At 52.3% G+C, this 13,516-nt stretch overlaps 1 long non-coding RNA gene across 1 annotated transcript, besides 6 other annotated features; it reads left to right on the forward strand.

Moving 5' to 3' along the window:
• The first annotated feature begins 235 nt into the window (after positions 1 to 235).
• On the forward strand, positions 236 to 1,697 carry LINC01656 (long intergenic non-protein coding RNA 1656). The gene is made up of 3 exons (NR_109966.1): positions 236 to 310; positions 551 to 700; positions 1,293 to 1,697. It is a non-coding gene; the product is annotated as a long intergenic non-protein coding RNA 1656 (long non-coding RNA).
• Positions 836 to 1,565: an enhancer, noted in NCBI's record as "H3K4me1 hESC enhancer chr22:44839807-44840536 (GRCh37/hg19 assembly coordinates)". NCBI's record gives its function as "activates a minimal SCP1, AML or CMV promoter by ChIP-STARR-seq in naive and primed H9 embryonic stem cells {active_cell/tissue: H9 hESC(naive and primed)}" and the evidence as "EXISTENCE:reporter gene assay evidence [ECO:0000049][PMID:30033119]".
• Positions 1,566 to 2,295: an enhancer, noted in NCBI's record as "H3K4me1 hESC enhancer chr22:44840537-44841266 (GRCh37/hg19 assembly coordinates)". NCBI's record gives its function as "activates a minimal SCP1, AML or CMV promoter by ChIP-STARR-seq in primed H9 embryonic stem cells {active_cell/tissue: H9 hESC(primed)}" and the evidence as "EXISTENCE:reporter gene assay evidence [ECO:0000049][PMID:30033119]".
• Positions 4,913 to 5,576: an enhancer, noted in NCBI's record as "H3K4me1 hESC enhancer chr22:44843884-44844547 (GRCh37/hg19 assembly coordinates)". NCBI's record gives its function as "activates a minimal SCP1, AML or CMV promoter by ChIP-STARR-seq in naive H9 embryonic stem cells {active_cell/tissue: H9 hESC(naive)}" and the evidence as "EXISTENCE:reporter gene assay evidence [ECO:0000049][PMID:30033119]".
• Positions 5,756 to 6,955: an enhancer, noted in NCBI's record as "MED14-independent group 3 enhancer chr22:44844727-44845926 (GRCh37/hg19 assembly coordinates)". NCBI's record gives its function as "activates an origin of replication core promoter dependent on BRD2, BRD4, P300/CBP and CDK7 cofactors, and independent of MED14, by STARR-seq in HCT116 cells {active_cell/tissue: HCT116}" and the evidence as "EXISTENCE:reporter gene assay evidence [ECO:0000049][PMID:35650434]".
• Positions 6,424 to 6,563: an enhancer, noted in NCBI's record as "active region_19210". NCBI's record gives its function as "activates an Ori minimal core promoter by ATAC-STARR-seq in GM12878 lymphoblastoid cells {active_cell/tissue: GM12878}" and the evidence as "EXISTENCE:reporter gene assay evidence [ECO:0000049][PMID:35858748]".
• Positions 12,496 to 12,645: an enhancer, noted in NCBI's record as "active region_19211". NCBI's record gives its function as "activates an Ori minimal core promoter by ATAC-STARR-seq in GM12878 lymphoblastoid cells {active_cell/tissue: GM12878}" and the evidence as "EXISTENCE:reporter gene assay evidence [ECO:0000049][PMID:35858748]".

Genomic DNA, 13,516 nt, shown 5'->3' on the forward strand with positions numbered 1-13,516 from the left:
CATCTAAGACTGTGTTCTCGGTAATGAGGGTTTAGAGAAAAGCAATTCTGGAGCAGGCTCCAAGAAATTGAGATAATTTCGCTGGGAGATGAGAACTGAAACATGACCCTGCACTGTGTGGCCTCGGTCTGGAGGCAGGTGACAGGGTGACGTGACCACCCAGAGGGCCCTTAGATGACAGACAGGGCGAGGCGGCCTCCTTTGCCTGGGTGGCTGCAGGGTCAGGACCAGGACCACAAGGAGAAGGTGGGCCCAGCAAGCCCAGAGGACACAGCCACCAGGACTGTCACCCACTCCTGGGGAAGGGCGGGTAGGAAGGAAAGGGGTAGCTGAGGAGATACAAGAGGCAGAGGGCGGCAGGGAGTGAGAGGGAGGTGGTGGGAGCAGGGAGGGCAGGGGAAAGGGCCTCAGGCCAGTCCTGGAGGAAGGAACTCCCTTCCCCGGTGGTGGCCATGAAACTTCCCTTTAGAATCCTGCTGGGGAAACTGGCTCTCTGAACTATTTTTTTTGTCTGCGCTATTTTTTTTTTCTGTTCTTGGGGCTGTGGAAGGAAGGTGCTGTCTCCGGGGTTGTCAGAAAAGTCCAGAATCCTCCTGGAGTTGAAGTCTCTCTGCGGGGCCAGGATGGCGAGGAACTGGAACCCTGGAGCCTGTCATGTTACTCCAAGGCTGACTAGTCCCAGTCCCCAGTGAGAAGCAAGGTGGGCCTAGCTGTACCTGGAGCCAGACTCCTGTTCTGGGGAGGGGAACAGTCACCAGAAGGAGAAAGTGACAGAAATGCTCAGCTCAGCCCCCACCAGCCGCATGCATGTGTGGCCCCTCTCGGTCCTCCAGTACTGCACCCCTGCAAAGGGAGGCTGGTGGTGTCTGCGCACATACACGCACATATGCACACACACAGACACATGCACATATGTGCTCATGTGTGCACACACACTCACACACATGCATGTGTGTACATGCACATGCATGATTCTGTCGGCTGCTTTCCAAGCCCTGGTATTGTGAGTGCTTCCAGGCTTCCAGTAGTAGTCAGACAAACCGCTTTGTGAGCCTCCAATGAGATCCTGGGGGTGATGGGGCATCTTCATGGAGACTGGTGGGTGGCGGGTGCCCACTGCATGGAAGATTCCGGTCCTTCTCCTACTTTTTCTCCCCAGATTACTGGGAGGCTTAAACAAAGCCAGGCTAAGGGAACACGGCCCGCCCTTGGTGCACCTTAGTAATGTTATCCTCACTGCTAATGTAATGGCCCCCAAGTAAATGAAGAGGCTTCTGACGTCAACATTGCAGGAGAACCTGATACAGGCGGTGGCCCGGCTTGGAATGAGCAGAACAACCTAGACCCGTCTGGCTTTGGGAGTCAGAGGCTCGGCTTCAAATCCCAGCTCCACCTTGGTCACCTGCAGGACCCTGAGCCGTAGAGGATTAACCCAGTCGGCGTGCAGGGGGCGTGGCCTGTGCCTCACTGCAGGTACCCCTCCTGTCCCTCCCGCAGCACTGATGACAGGCCGGCTGTGCTGGGCACCGAGAATGCACCGGCCCTGCTCTCGCAGGGCCCACAGACCAGGGAGGGAGGAAGATCATAAATAAATGAAGTGAGCAAGGCACCGTGCATGTATTCTACCAGTGTCTACAGAGCCCATGCTCTGAGCCAGGCACTAGTCTAGTAAATAAACATCGCTAACGTGTTTCAGACACTTGCCTTATCCTCCAGCCTCAACCTCTGTTACCCATGAAGTCTCACAATAGGCCTAGGGGGTGGCCCTCTTGTAACCCCATCTTACAGGAGAGGAAACAGAGGCCCAGAGAGGCTAAGCTCCTTGCCATGCTGTTAGGCAGTGACGGAGCCTGCACCCATAATCGGTATGCTGCCTCCTGCTGGATGCTAGGGGGGTCTCCAGGGGCTGAAGCTCATGTGGTCCCTGCCTCCTGGAGCTCAGGCTAGTGGGGCCTGGAAGAAGAGGGGCAGGGCCCTTCCATCTGTTACAGTGAATTCCAGGTGGGTGAGATCAGGGAAGGCTTCCTGGAGGAGGTGATGTTTGAGCCGGGATCTGAAGGTCAGGAAGGAATTAACCAGGTTCAGAGGGAGAGAGAATCTACTCCTTCTACTCATGCTACCTATTCTTTGACACCCCCTCCAGGAAGCCCTCCTTGCCCTCTTCCAGACGGAGCTCCCACACTACAGCTGCACTATCTCTGTCTGTGCCCGAGTTCCCACCAGACTGTGGAACTCCCAAAAGGCAGTGCAGGGGGCTGGCTCCTCTGTGTCCCCAGCACCACCCAGCCCCGGGCACGGGAATCAGAGGCTGAGGGACGGCAGGCTGTGTGGGCTGAGGTGGGAGGGCGGCATAGCCGAGGGGCCCGTTTGTCACACTGGCTCCAGGTGCACAGGGTGAGACACTCAGGAACCCTGCTGCTCAGGAGAATTTTAGGCCAATGACCTGCCGGCCCCTGATTAGCCCCTGATGTTGCTCTGTGTCAGGCAGCGCGCCAGGCAGATGACCCCCTCTTTGACCCCAGGAGAGGCTGGAGTAAGCGTGTCTCCAGCCAGGACGTGCAAATGGCATGCAGTGGAGGAAGCCAGGGAGCATGAATTGCTGGGACCCAGCTGTCTGTTCTGGAAGAGGGCATTTTTCCCCCCTGCCCATGTTAACTTTATCCTTAGCTTGTACCCAGAACTCCACCGCTGTCTATCGGTTGGGCAGACAGAGGCTGCCTTGCCTGGCTGCCAACACGAAATGGCATTTTGCTCGAGGTGTTCCTCCTCCCTCGCCTTTCCCTGCCTCTAAATTCAGAGCAAAGGTAGCATGAGTCACGACTCATCGACACGGTGAGGGACAAGCATGCTCCGCCAGGGAGGGGCTTTGTGCGGTCTGAACCGGGGACTGCAGCAAACGATCGCGCAGCGGGGACTCAAGCCCCTGATGGTGCCAGAAAAATATAACAATAACAGAAATAAACACCAAACCCACAAAAGCTCAGTGCAGAAGGCCCAGAGTCCAAGAGCGCCCATGTACGCAGGCCGGCCAGCTGGGGGATCTTGGGCAAGATATCCTTGAGGATAAAGATATCCCTTTTTAACTTCAGTTTCTTCATCTGTAAAATGGACAGGATAATACTTATACCTACTTCATAGGATTATTGTGCTGACAAATAAGTGAGTATCATATGCCCAGCACCCACTAAGGTTCAGATGCAATAAATGGTAAGCCGTACTGCCATCATTCAGATGCTCATGAAAGCCTCTGTGTCTGTCACCAGCTAACCATGGTGACCTGAAATGAGCCTTGGAAACCTAGGATGGCAAGGAATGGGTCTAGTTTGTGCCCTGGTGTATTACCAAGACTTTCATAAATGGCATGGGAAAATTACCCCTGAAGATTTATGACCACAAGCCAGCCCTCAAACAAGTTCATAGGGACAATTGACACTTCCAGTTCTGTGTGCAAAAACCTCAGGCTGAGAATTTAGATGAAAATGGCTTTCTCTAGACTTCTCACAAACAAATGCAAATCCCCCTGGAGCAATTAAGGTGACATTCCAACCACAGGAGCATCTTACAGCTGAGAGTCACTAAACACACGAGGAAACAGGGCACCATGAGTAAGAACCAGCACAAACCTCACCTAGCTGAATCAGATCCACAGAGTCCCCAGATAGCAGAATTATCAGATGAGGAATGTAAAATAAGTCTGTTTACTACAATTAAAGACACAAAAAAGAGGAGAGTTCAAAATATGAGTTGGGAACAAGAGATTCTAAAAATGGACCAGGCATGGTGGCTCACGCCAGTAATCCCAGCACTTTGGAAAGCTGAGGCGGGAGGATCACTTGAGGCTAGCAGTTCAAGACCAGTCTGGACCACATGTCAAGACCTCATCTCCATAAAAAATTTCAAAATTAATAGGGCATAGTGGTGCTTGCCTGTAGTCCCAGTTGCCTGGGAGGCTGAGGTGGGAAGATTGCTTGAGCCCAGGAGTTTGAGGCTGCAGTGAGCCGTGATCACACCACATACTCCAGCCTGGGCAATGGAGCAAGACTCTGTTTCTAAAAAATAAATAAAATAAAATAACCAAGAAGATTTGAAATAGAATCAAATAGAATTTGTAGAAATTAATAAAATGGTCATTGTGTAAATTGGTGTGATTACTTTGAAAACAATTTGGCATTATCTAGTAAATGTGAAGATGAGCACTCGTAGTTAGTTCCCTTCAACATTTTTTTTTTTGTTTTCTTTTGAGATGGAGTCTCGAACTGTCGCTCGGGCTGGAGTACTGCAACCTCAGCCTCCTGGGTTCACACAATTCTCCTGCCTCAGCCTCCCTAGTAGCTGCGATTATAGGCGCACACCACCACACAGGGCTAATTTTTGTATTTTTAGTAGAGACGGGGTTTCACTATGTTGGCCAGACGGGTCTCAAACTCCTGACCTTGTGATCCACCCGCCTCAGCCTCCCAAAGTGCTGGGATTACAGGCGTGAGCCTCCGCGCCCGGCCCCTTCAACATTTTTTAGAGAATCTCCTGCCCATGTACACCAGGAGACACATCCCAGATGTTTCTGGGAGCACTGTTTGTAACAGTAAAACAAACACAATGAAACTTTTTTTTGTTTTTGAGATGGAGTCTCGCTCTGTCGCCCAGGCTGGAGTGCAGTGGCGCAATCTCGGCTCACTGCAAGCTCCACCTCCCGGGTTCACGCCATTCTCCTGCCTCAGCCTCCCCAGTAGCTGGGACTACAGGTGCCCGCCACCACACCTGGCTAAAGTTTTTGTATTTTTAGTAGAGACGGGGTTTCACTGTGTTAGCCAGGATGGTCTCGATCTCCTGACCTCGTGATCTGCCCACCTCGGCCTCCCAAAGTGCTGGGATTACAGGCATGAGCCACCGTGGCCAGCCACACTTTTTTAAAAAAAGAAAAGAAAAAAAAGAGGGAAGGGAAGGGAAGGGGAGGGGAGGGGAGGGGAGGGGAGGGGAGGGGAGGAAAAAGAAAAGAATGTTTTCACAGCAGAGGTGTCTAGTCCTGGGAGGGGCTGGTTTGCAAGGGAGTGAGCCCCCCCATCACTGGTGGGAAGGTGAGTTGAGACTGATGACTACTTGTGAGGACGCTGTGCTCTGAGGTCTCATTTGTGCTAAGGTTCCGATAGCTGGCCGGGTACAGGGTCCCTGTCTGATATAACTCCTGAGACCCTGGCTTTGGACCAGGCACAGGGGCCATGCTCCGTGGACATCTGAATGAATGAAAAAAATGAATGAACAAAGTGGTTGCAGGCACCGTACTTCACCGCCCATGCAGACAGCCCTGCCGTCCGGACTCCCAGGGAGCCCTGGCCTGCATTCTCGTCTCCCAGGCATTCTGACTCACACGTTCCCCAGGACATGGAGGGCGTCCAAGTCGTGTGGATGTGTGGCCCTGCAGACTGAGCTGGACTCCTTGAAGAAGAGGACACTGTTGCCCCTCCTCTGCACGCATGTGCCCTCCGCTCTGTTGGCTGGGGTGGAGATGGGGCATCCCCTCTCGGGGTAAGACAGGCCTGGGGGCTGTTGCTGCCAGAGCCACGTCTTTGGCTAATGATTCATACTCTCTGAGCCGAAATCTCATTATTTGCATAATGGAGAAAGGAATACCTCCCCAGAGGGCTGTTGTGGGAACCAGGTGCAATTTTATGGATAAGACAGTTCTATGTAAATGTCAAGGCTGGACCCAGCTGGGGAGTTATGAAGCCCTGCAGGATGGCAAAAGCTGTTTCAAAAAGGCTGCCACGTGTTATCCTACTTAATTCTCAGCACAGCCCAATAACCTAAGTAGGACTGTGATCCCCACGCTACAGAAGTGTAGAATGAGGTTCAAAGAGGTCAGGAACCCAAGCCACACAGGGGCGTGGGACAGCCTCCATACAAAGTCAGGCCAGAGCCTCGCAGGGACCCGTAGTACCGACTGTGTTTGAGGGTCAGCCCCGTGCTTTCTGTTGCTCCAGTCTACCCGCCCCCTGACCTGTCAGCAATGCCTCTGAGAGACGGTGGGCAGAAGGGCAGTCATCCATGGATCCCCGAGCCAGGGCCCTTGCACATGACCTCAGATGAGAGGCCGATGGTGCCAAGGCCTTCTGAGTCAGGCTTGGGTTCAAATTCCTGCTCCACCACTGGGTGATGAAGTACAGGACCTCCTTCCCGCGTGGTTAGAGGGCACTCCGCACCCTGTCCATCCTGGTAAGTCACTTACTTTGGCCAATGGAATCAAGTGAATGCCATGTGACCAAAGGCCTTAAGAGTGCCCTTGAGGTTTGCACTCCGGTGATCGGCCCCGAGATCGGCTGGAGCAGCCTGGGCCAGGAGCTGACCCAGACCCGTCCCTGTCGACCGCACACAGGCCGAGGTTGAGTCACCCGGGCAAAGCCAGTTGGGATCAGCGGAACCACAGTCAACCTGCAGACCCGGAAAAGGGGAAATCACATGCCTGCTGTGCGTGCTGCCCAGGCCTGGGGTGTCTGTGAAACTGGCTTAGTTTGGAAATTCCTGACTCATTCTCTGAACTGCTGATTCATTCTCTGAGCTTCGGCATCTTTGTCTATTAAATGCTCCCTCCTTTCAGGGTTCCTGGAGCATGATCCGAATCAACCATGCTTCCTTTGAAACCCCAGGGTCGCCTGCAGAACAGATCTGCTACATGGGTGCATGTAGCCCCCCCACGCTGGAGGCTCTTTCTCTGCATGTCTGTCTCCCCTGAGGGACCAGGCCGTGCTCAAGGCAGGGCTGGATGGGCCCACATCCCTGCCCAGTGCCTGGCCCAGAGCCTGGCTTGGAGAAGGCGCCCAGGAAATGTCAGGTCCTTGCCACCAATAACCCTGCCTTTTAGGGCATTGTGTGGGGTCCGTCCATTGTTGAATCTGGAAGAACCCCCGGTGCTGTGGGGCCATCCCTCCTCCCTGAGCATGCGGGCACAGGTGCCAGGGCTGCCCATGCTGCATGAGGATTACAGGAATCCTGAAAGCAAAGGCTCGGCTTTGGGGTGGCTGTGGAGGGTGTGGCTTTAGCAGACTGGGAATCCTTTACATCCCAAACCCAGGACGCAAGCAAGGCTGGGTGTTCATAGCCTCAGCACACTGGGGCCTGGTGTCACCCTCAGCCCGGCCATCTACAGAGTCAGAATGCACCAGCCAGGGCAGCAGACAGAGCAAAAAAGACCAGGAAAGAGCCCATAAACTGGGGGTAGCATCCGGACCGTGGAACCGGCCGCCACCAGCATGAGTGGAATGGTCACCAAGAGCTATGAGGTCCCAGGGGGACTGCCTGGTCTGTTTCATCCCCTGCACACATCGCACATCAGGAAACTGAAGCTCAGGAAGGGCATGGCATGGCACATGTGAAGCCTCGGCTCAGCCAGCGACAGACTAGATGGGACAGGATCCACCAGGCTCACCCACAGGTTGATCAGTGTGCAGGGTCTCAGAGTCCAGTCTGAGCAGCCTTAGCTGGGACTGTCCATGCCATCCTGTCCAGCGGCCCCTCCCAAGTCCTGGAGGGAAGGCCACCTGCTCTGAGGGTGGGGTCGGGATGGTGACGGTGAGTCACAGTTGCCACCAGGCCAAAGAGACAGCCTCTATGTGGCCTTTCCCAGGCTGCGGGATGACAGGAGCCATGCCCTGGTGGCAACCGCTCCATGTCTGCAAGCTTCGAGATCGCCGTGCAATTCCAATCTGGGAAGGCCCCTTATAAGGAATTCCATTCTGGAAAGTCGCCGCCAAGCCAATCACTGAATCAAAAGGAGGAAGTCAACCTCTTCGGGTGGATTAAACCAAAGAGACATCCTGGGTACCTGTTATATGCTGGACACTCTTCTAGACTTGCTATTTAAACATGGATTCTTATGAGACAGGCATGATTATCCCCATTTTACTGATGAGAAAACTGAGTCCCAAAGAGGTGAAATAACTTGCCCAGGACGAAGTAGTAATATGAAAATGGAGATCTGTCCTGATTGTTCATTCATTCATTCATTCAATATATTTTTGTGTCTGATCTATGCCAGACACTGTGCACCTGAAAGGCCTCGCCTGTACCCTCTGCACCTACTGCCCCCAGCCTGCAGGCTGCTTGTTCATGCCTTCACGGCATGTTTGCCAAGCGCTCTGTGTGCACCACAGTCCGGCAACCTGTGGGAGACCCTGAGCCAGGAAACCCTTCTGAGCCCCCAGATGCCTGACCCCAGAAACAGCGAGACCATGGATGCTATTGATTTAAGCTTAGGGGTGATTTGTTATACAGCAATAGGTGACTCATAACTGGCACACACAAGATTCAGGCTGGGGAGGTCATTCTTGACAGAGTAGGAGCATTGCCATCTTGGACGAGCACCTTGATCAAAAACTGCCTAAATCCAAAGGGCATCAGCCTAACGGCCAAGGTCAGCATGACCATAAACCAAAAATGACATCCCTTCCTTCCTTCCTTCCTTCTTTCCTTCCTTCCTTCTTTCCTTCTTTCCTTCTTTCTTTCCTTCTTTCTTTCTTGCTTGCTTGCTTCTCACTCTGTCGCCCATGCTAGAGTGCAGTGGCATGATCTCAGCTCACTGCAACCTCCACCTCCCGGGTTCAAGTGATTCTTCTGCCTCAGCCTCCTGAATAGCTGGAACTATAGGCACCTGCCACCACACCCAGCTAATTTTTTGTATTTTTAGTAAAGATGGCATTTCACCATATTGGCCAGGCTGGTCTTGAACTCCTGACCTCATGATCCACCTGCCTTGGCCTCCCAAAGTGCTGGGATTACAGGCGTGAGCCACCACGCCTGGCCTCCTCTTTCTTTAACTCTTACAATTCTTCCATTCCACCAAGCAGGAAGCCAAGCCAAGGGGAGTGGGGGGCACTCAGGACCCAGAGTCAAGCTGGGGGGTTGGCCTCTGATATGGTTTTGATGTGTGTCCCCTTCAAATCTCATGTTGGAATGTGATCCCCAGTGTTGGAGGTGGGGCCTGGTGGGAGGTGTGTAGGGCACAGGGGTGGGCCTCTCGTGAATGGCCTGGTGCCTTCCTCGCAGTAATGAGTGAGTTCTTGCTCTGAGTTCACACAGGTCTGGTTGTTTAAATGAGTGGGACCTCCCTCTCTATTGCTCACTCTCTCCATGTGATTCGCCGGCTCCTGCTTTGCCTTCCGCCATGATTGTAAGTTTCCTGAGGCCTCCCCAGAAGCAGATGCCGGCTCCATGCTGCTTGTACAGCCTACAGGACTGTGAGCCAAATAAACCTTTCTTCAGAAATCACCCAGTCTTGGGTATTCACATTCCTTTATAGCAATGCAAATGGCCTATTCCAGCCTCCTAGCTCTGTTCCTTCTGGCTCTGTAAGTGACTTTCCTCTGAGCTTTGTTTCCTCATCAAGAAAAATGGAGAGGCCTCTCCGTAGGGGTGTACAGGGGGTCAAGAGAGGTCTTGGGGGCTGAGCCTCAATGTGGGTCTGTGTGATGGGAAAGATTTTGCTTTCCGGTTGTTGTCCGGTTTGCTTTCTACAAATTTGTCAGCTGCAAGCTCTCTCCCTGAAGCTGCCTTTAATTGGGTTGAGAAGGCACGATTTGCCAGGTGAATGAGTTGAGAGGGTGGGTCGGGGGCAGCTCCCTGGTGCCTGCTGCACACTTGCACCTGGAACAAGTCTCTGGCACAGGATATATGGTCCTTCCCACCACTGGTTGGGTTGAAGGAGTCACAGAGAGAAGGGTGCCCCTGTCCACCCTGCAGTGCCCACGGCCGATACTGTTATGCCCCAGAACAGCCGGACCTACTCTTCCTTGTCTGCCCCATTCCAATTCATCAGGGCTCAGATAAGAGCTTATCAGATATTATGAAATCACTCATCCACACAGACCAGACAGAGGGGCTGCCTCAGAGAAGCAGAAGGTTCTAGGATAGAGGCCAAGCCCAAGACAAACAAGTTTTTAGGTGATGCTGGAGAAGAGAGCCCACCAGCACTGGGGAAGAAAGAACCAGGACTTCTGGTTCTCCTCTCACTCCAGGTGCACACTCCTTTGAAATCAGGGGTGACCCTATGACCTGCTCTGTCTGCAGAAGTGATGAGTCACCTCCAGGGAGAAGCATTAAGGACCACTCTGCCTACCCCTTTCCACTGTAACGGACAGGGTGGCCCCGCACTCCCGACTTGCTGCTCCGGGATGTTGGTGCTCCAGTCAGCTGGGGCAGCTGAGCCATCCCTGGGAGACTGTGGCTCTGGGGAATCACCTGCACCTGTCGTGGACTTTGCTTGGGCAGAAACACATGTTTGACTGAAGCCACTGGGACTTTGACAGTTTGTTCCTGCAGCATCGTTGAAATCAACCTGATCGATGCAAATATATTGTCAAGTTGAAATGCAGGTTTCAAAATGGCATTGATTCATCCATCAGTTATTCATTGGGCCCCCACCTTCCCACCCCATGTCTGCAATTTCCAATTCCAGATTTAGGGGAGGGGGCGTTTAGAGTCCAAATCCCTCCCCCAACACACACGTAGGAAAACGAATGTGGGGATAACAGGGCCGCACTGTGGCGATGGCGGTGAGGCAGGGAATGGCAGTCCTGGTATGCAGTAGGGCCTCGCTCAATCTCAGCTCCTTTCTGAACTTTTCCTGCCCACACACCTGTCCTCGGGCCTCATCCAGGTGTCAGGGACAAAAAGCATTTTAATAGGGCAGGTATTATCATGTGGGCCCAGGACAATTCCTCTATATTAAAATCACAACCCAAACCTCTGTGAAGGAGACTCAGGCTATGTCAGGGCAAGTGGCCATGCCTGGGGACCACAGCATCACTGCACTGCAAGCTCCGGATTCCCACAGCCTGTGAGCTCCCCATGTGACCACCACAGCACAGGCTCGGCTAATTGGGTCCATGTGATGGGAAAGATCCCATGTGACCACCAGAGCACAGTTGGTCTATGTGATGGGAAAGATTTTGCCTTCCGGTTGCGTCCAGTTTGCTTTCTGCACATTTATCAGCTCCGAGCTCGCTCCCTAGAGCCACCTTTAATTGGGTTGAGAAGGTAACATGCGGAGCCGGCTGCATGTTGGCAAAAGCGCTTCTGCTGGCCTTGGATGGGAGGCTGGGGAGTCTAGACTGTCCCTTCATGGGGGCACGTGTGTTGCTGTACCATGATACTCGGGTGTGTGGATGCCCTTCAGGGTCCCCTCGATTCCGGGACCTGAGGGTTTGTGTGTCCAACTCCTTACTGAGGAGCCACAGCTCAGGGAGGGCAGGGGAAGGCAGAGGGTGCTGCCCATCCACGACAGCAATGGGGCTGCCCCTTAGAACCTTGCTGAAGTGGCCTGAGCCCTGTCACCCTTGCTATGGGACATCCAGTGTCCTCCCCATCCCAGGCACACGGACCACAAATAACTTCCCTTTTCTTTTAAGCTAGGGTTGCATTTCTGTTGCTTGCAACCTCAAAAGTCTATGCTGGCCGATTTGCAATGACTCAAAACTTGACTGCCTTCTTGCTACCATGGTACAGGGACAAGGGCCCAAGTAACTCTGGGAGCTGTTGGCAGCTATAAGGAAACCCCACTGGGGAAAAGCCCCTGCTTGGTGAAGGATTGATATGAGAGAATTACAGAGGAACATCTGGAGCACCAATGCCATTGAGAACCTCTAAACCAAACCACACCAGGAGCCTCTCTCCTGCTGGACATCTCGGTCCTGTGAGCTAATTTCTCTTTATTATTCTTTCCCTGTACTATGATAACTTCCATCCAGATTTGATGGAAGGACTGTAAATATTCCTGGAATGAGATCTTGAACTGGGAGATGAAGGCAGTCCCTGGAAGGCTGGAAGAGATTTTGGTTGTCTTCTTTGTGTTTATATGGATGTAGGCAACTTTGAATGTTCATGGGAAGAGGAAGGATCTGTATGAACCTTGGGTAGCCAAGGGCTGTGAGGACTATAATAAATAATCGTCACCTCCTAGCATTATTCTCCCTTCCCACCGTCCCCTATGTCCGTTTCGATGTCCAAGTAAACTGGCTCTACTCTCAGTCCCAGGGCTGGAGCATGTGATCTGATCTGAACCAGTCAGTGTATTCCATCCCCTGGCCTAGTAATTGGTTCCAATTTGGGGGTGGACTGAGATTGGTCCGATAAGAGTAATACCAGCCTCTGAGGAATGACTTGGACCTGTAGTGATATTTGCATGAGACAACGAAACTCTGTCTCTCTCAAAGGATGTTAATGAGGAGGCATGCAGGCCTGGGAGCCACTGGCAGACCTCTTTGGACTCTAAAGGGAGCCAGCTTTAGGATGAATCTGATGTCATAGAAAGGAAAGTAGAGGGAAAGCAAAAAACAAAAGTAGATATTCTGTTACATCATTGAACGGCTGAGTCACACTTCACCTGAGCCTTTCGGTTTAGCAAACGAATGTCATCTTGACATTTACTTTAAAAGCCCATTTGGGTTCTTGTGGTTTCCTGTTCTTTGCAACTGAAAACATCCTGAGCAGGTGGCTACCATTATTATCCAGATTTTGAAGATAAGAAACTGTGGCACAAGAATATTAAGTGATAGGCCCAGGGCTACCGGGCTGGTAAACAGAGGTGGTAAACCCAGAACATGCAATGGTAGCCTCAACATATAACGATTGGCCACTTGCCATTTTCTTCTGCCTTTAGGAGGTTGGTCCTCTGCACTTCTGGTCTCCACTTGACACCCAGGAGGAGGTACCATCACACCCCAGGACCTGCTGTGCTGGCGTTGTGTTTCTGCCGGAGTCACCTCTGTGAGTCGCGGGAGAGCCAGTCACCTTCGTATGTGTGCACACGCATGCACGGTCACAGAGGAACGTGCCTCCAGGGGTTTACCGTGCATGAATACCCGGACTATTTGGATGCTTTTCTTCAGGTTCTGTAGTTCTCATGGTCATGAAGCCCTCCACTAATAGCAGTTCATTTTCTTGACTTATCTTTACAAAAATAGGGTCATAGGATTTTCCCACTTTACAGGGTGAGCAAACAGAGGCTCAGATGAGAAACCTGACTTACCACTGGTGGCAGAGTGGGAAGTCAAATCAAGACATCAGTCCAGCATTTTTGACTCATCCACTCGATCATTGGTTTTTAATCTTAAGACGACCATGACCCACACTCAGGGCAGAGAGTGAAATGGAGGGAGAGAATGAAAGCTTAAATTTAGGTTTAGAAATAAGCAGTCCAGGCACAGTGGCTCATGCCTGTAATCCCAGCACTTTGGGAGACCAAGATGGGCAGATCACCTGAAGTCAGGAGTTCGAGACCAGCCTGACCAACATGGTGAAACCCCGTCTCTACTAAAAATACAAAAAAATTAGCCAGGCGTGGTGGCAGGTGCCTGTAATCCCAGCTACTCAGGAGGCTGAGGCAGGAGTATCACTTGAACCAGGGAGGCAGAGGCTGCAGTGAGCCGAGATCGCACCATTGCACTCCAGACTGGGCAACAGAGTGAGACTCTGCCTCAAAAAAATAAAATAATAAAATAAAATAAAATAATCAGCTCTCAGTCCAGGA

This window comes from Homo sapiens, chromosome 22 (genome assembly GCF_000001405.40).
Source record: "Homo sapiens chromosome 22, GRCh38.p14 Primary Assembly".
Classification (NCBI taxonomy): Eukaryota; Metazoa; Chordata; class Mammalia; order Primates; family Hominidae; genus Homo; species Homo sapiens.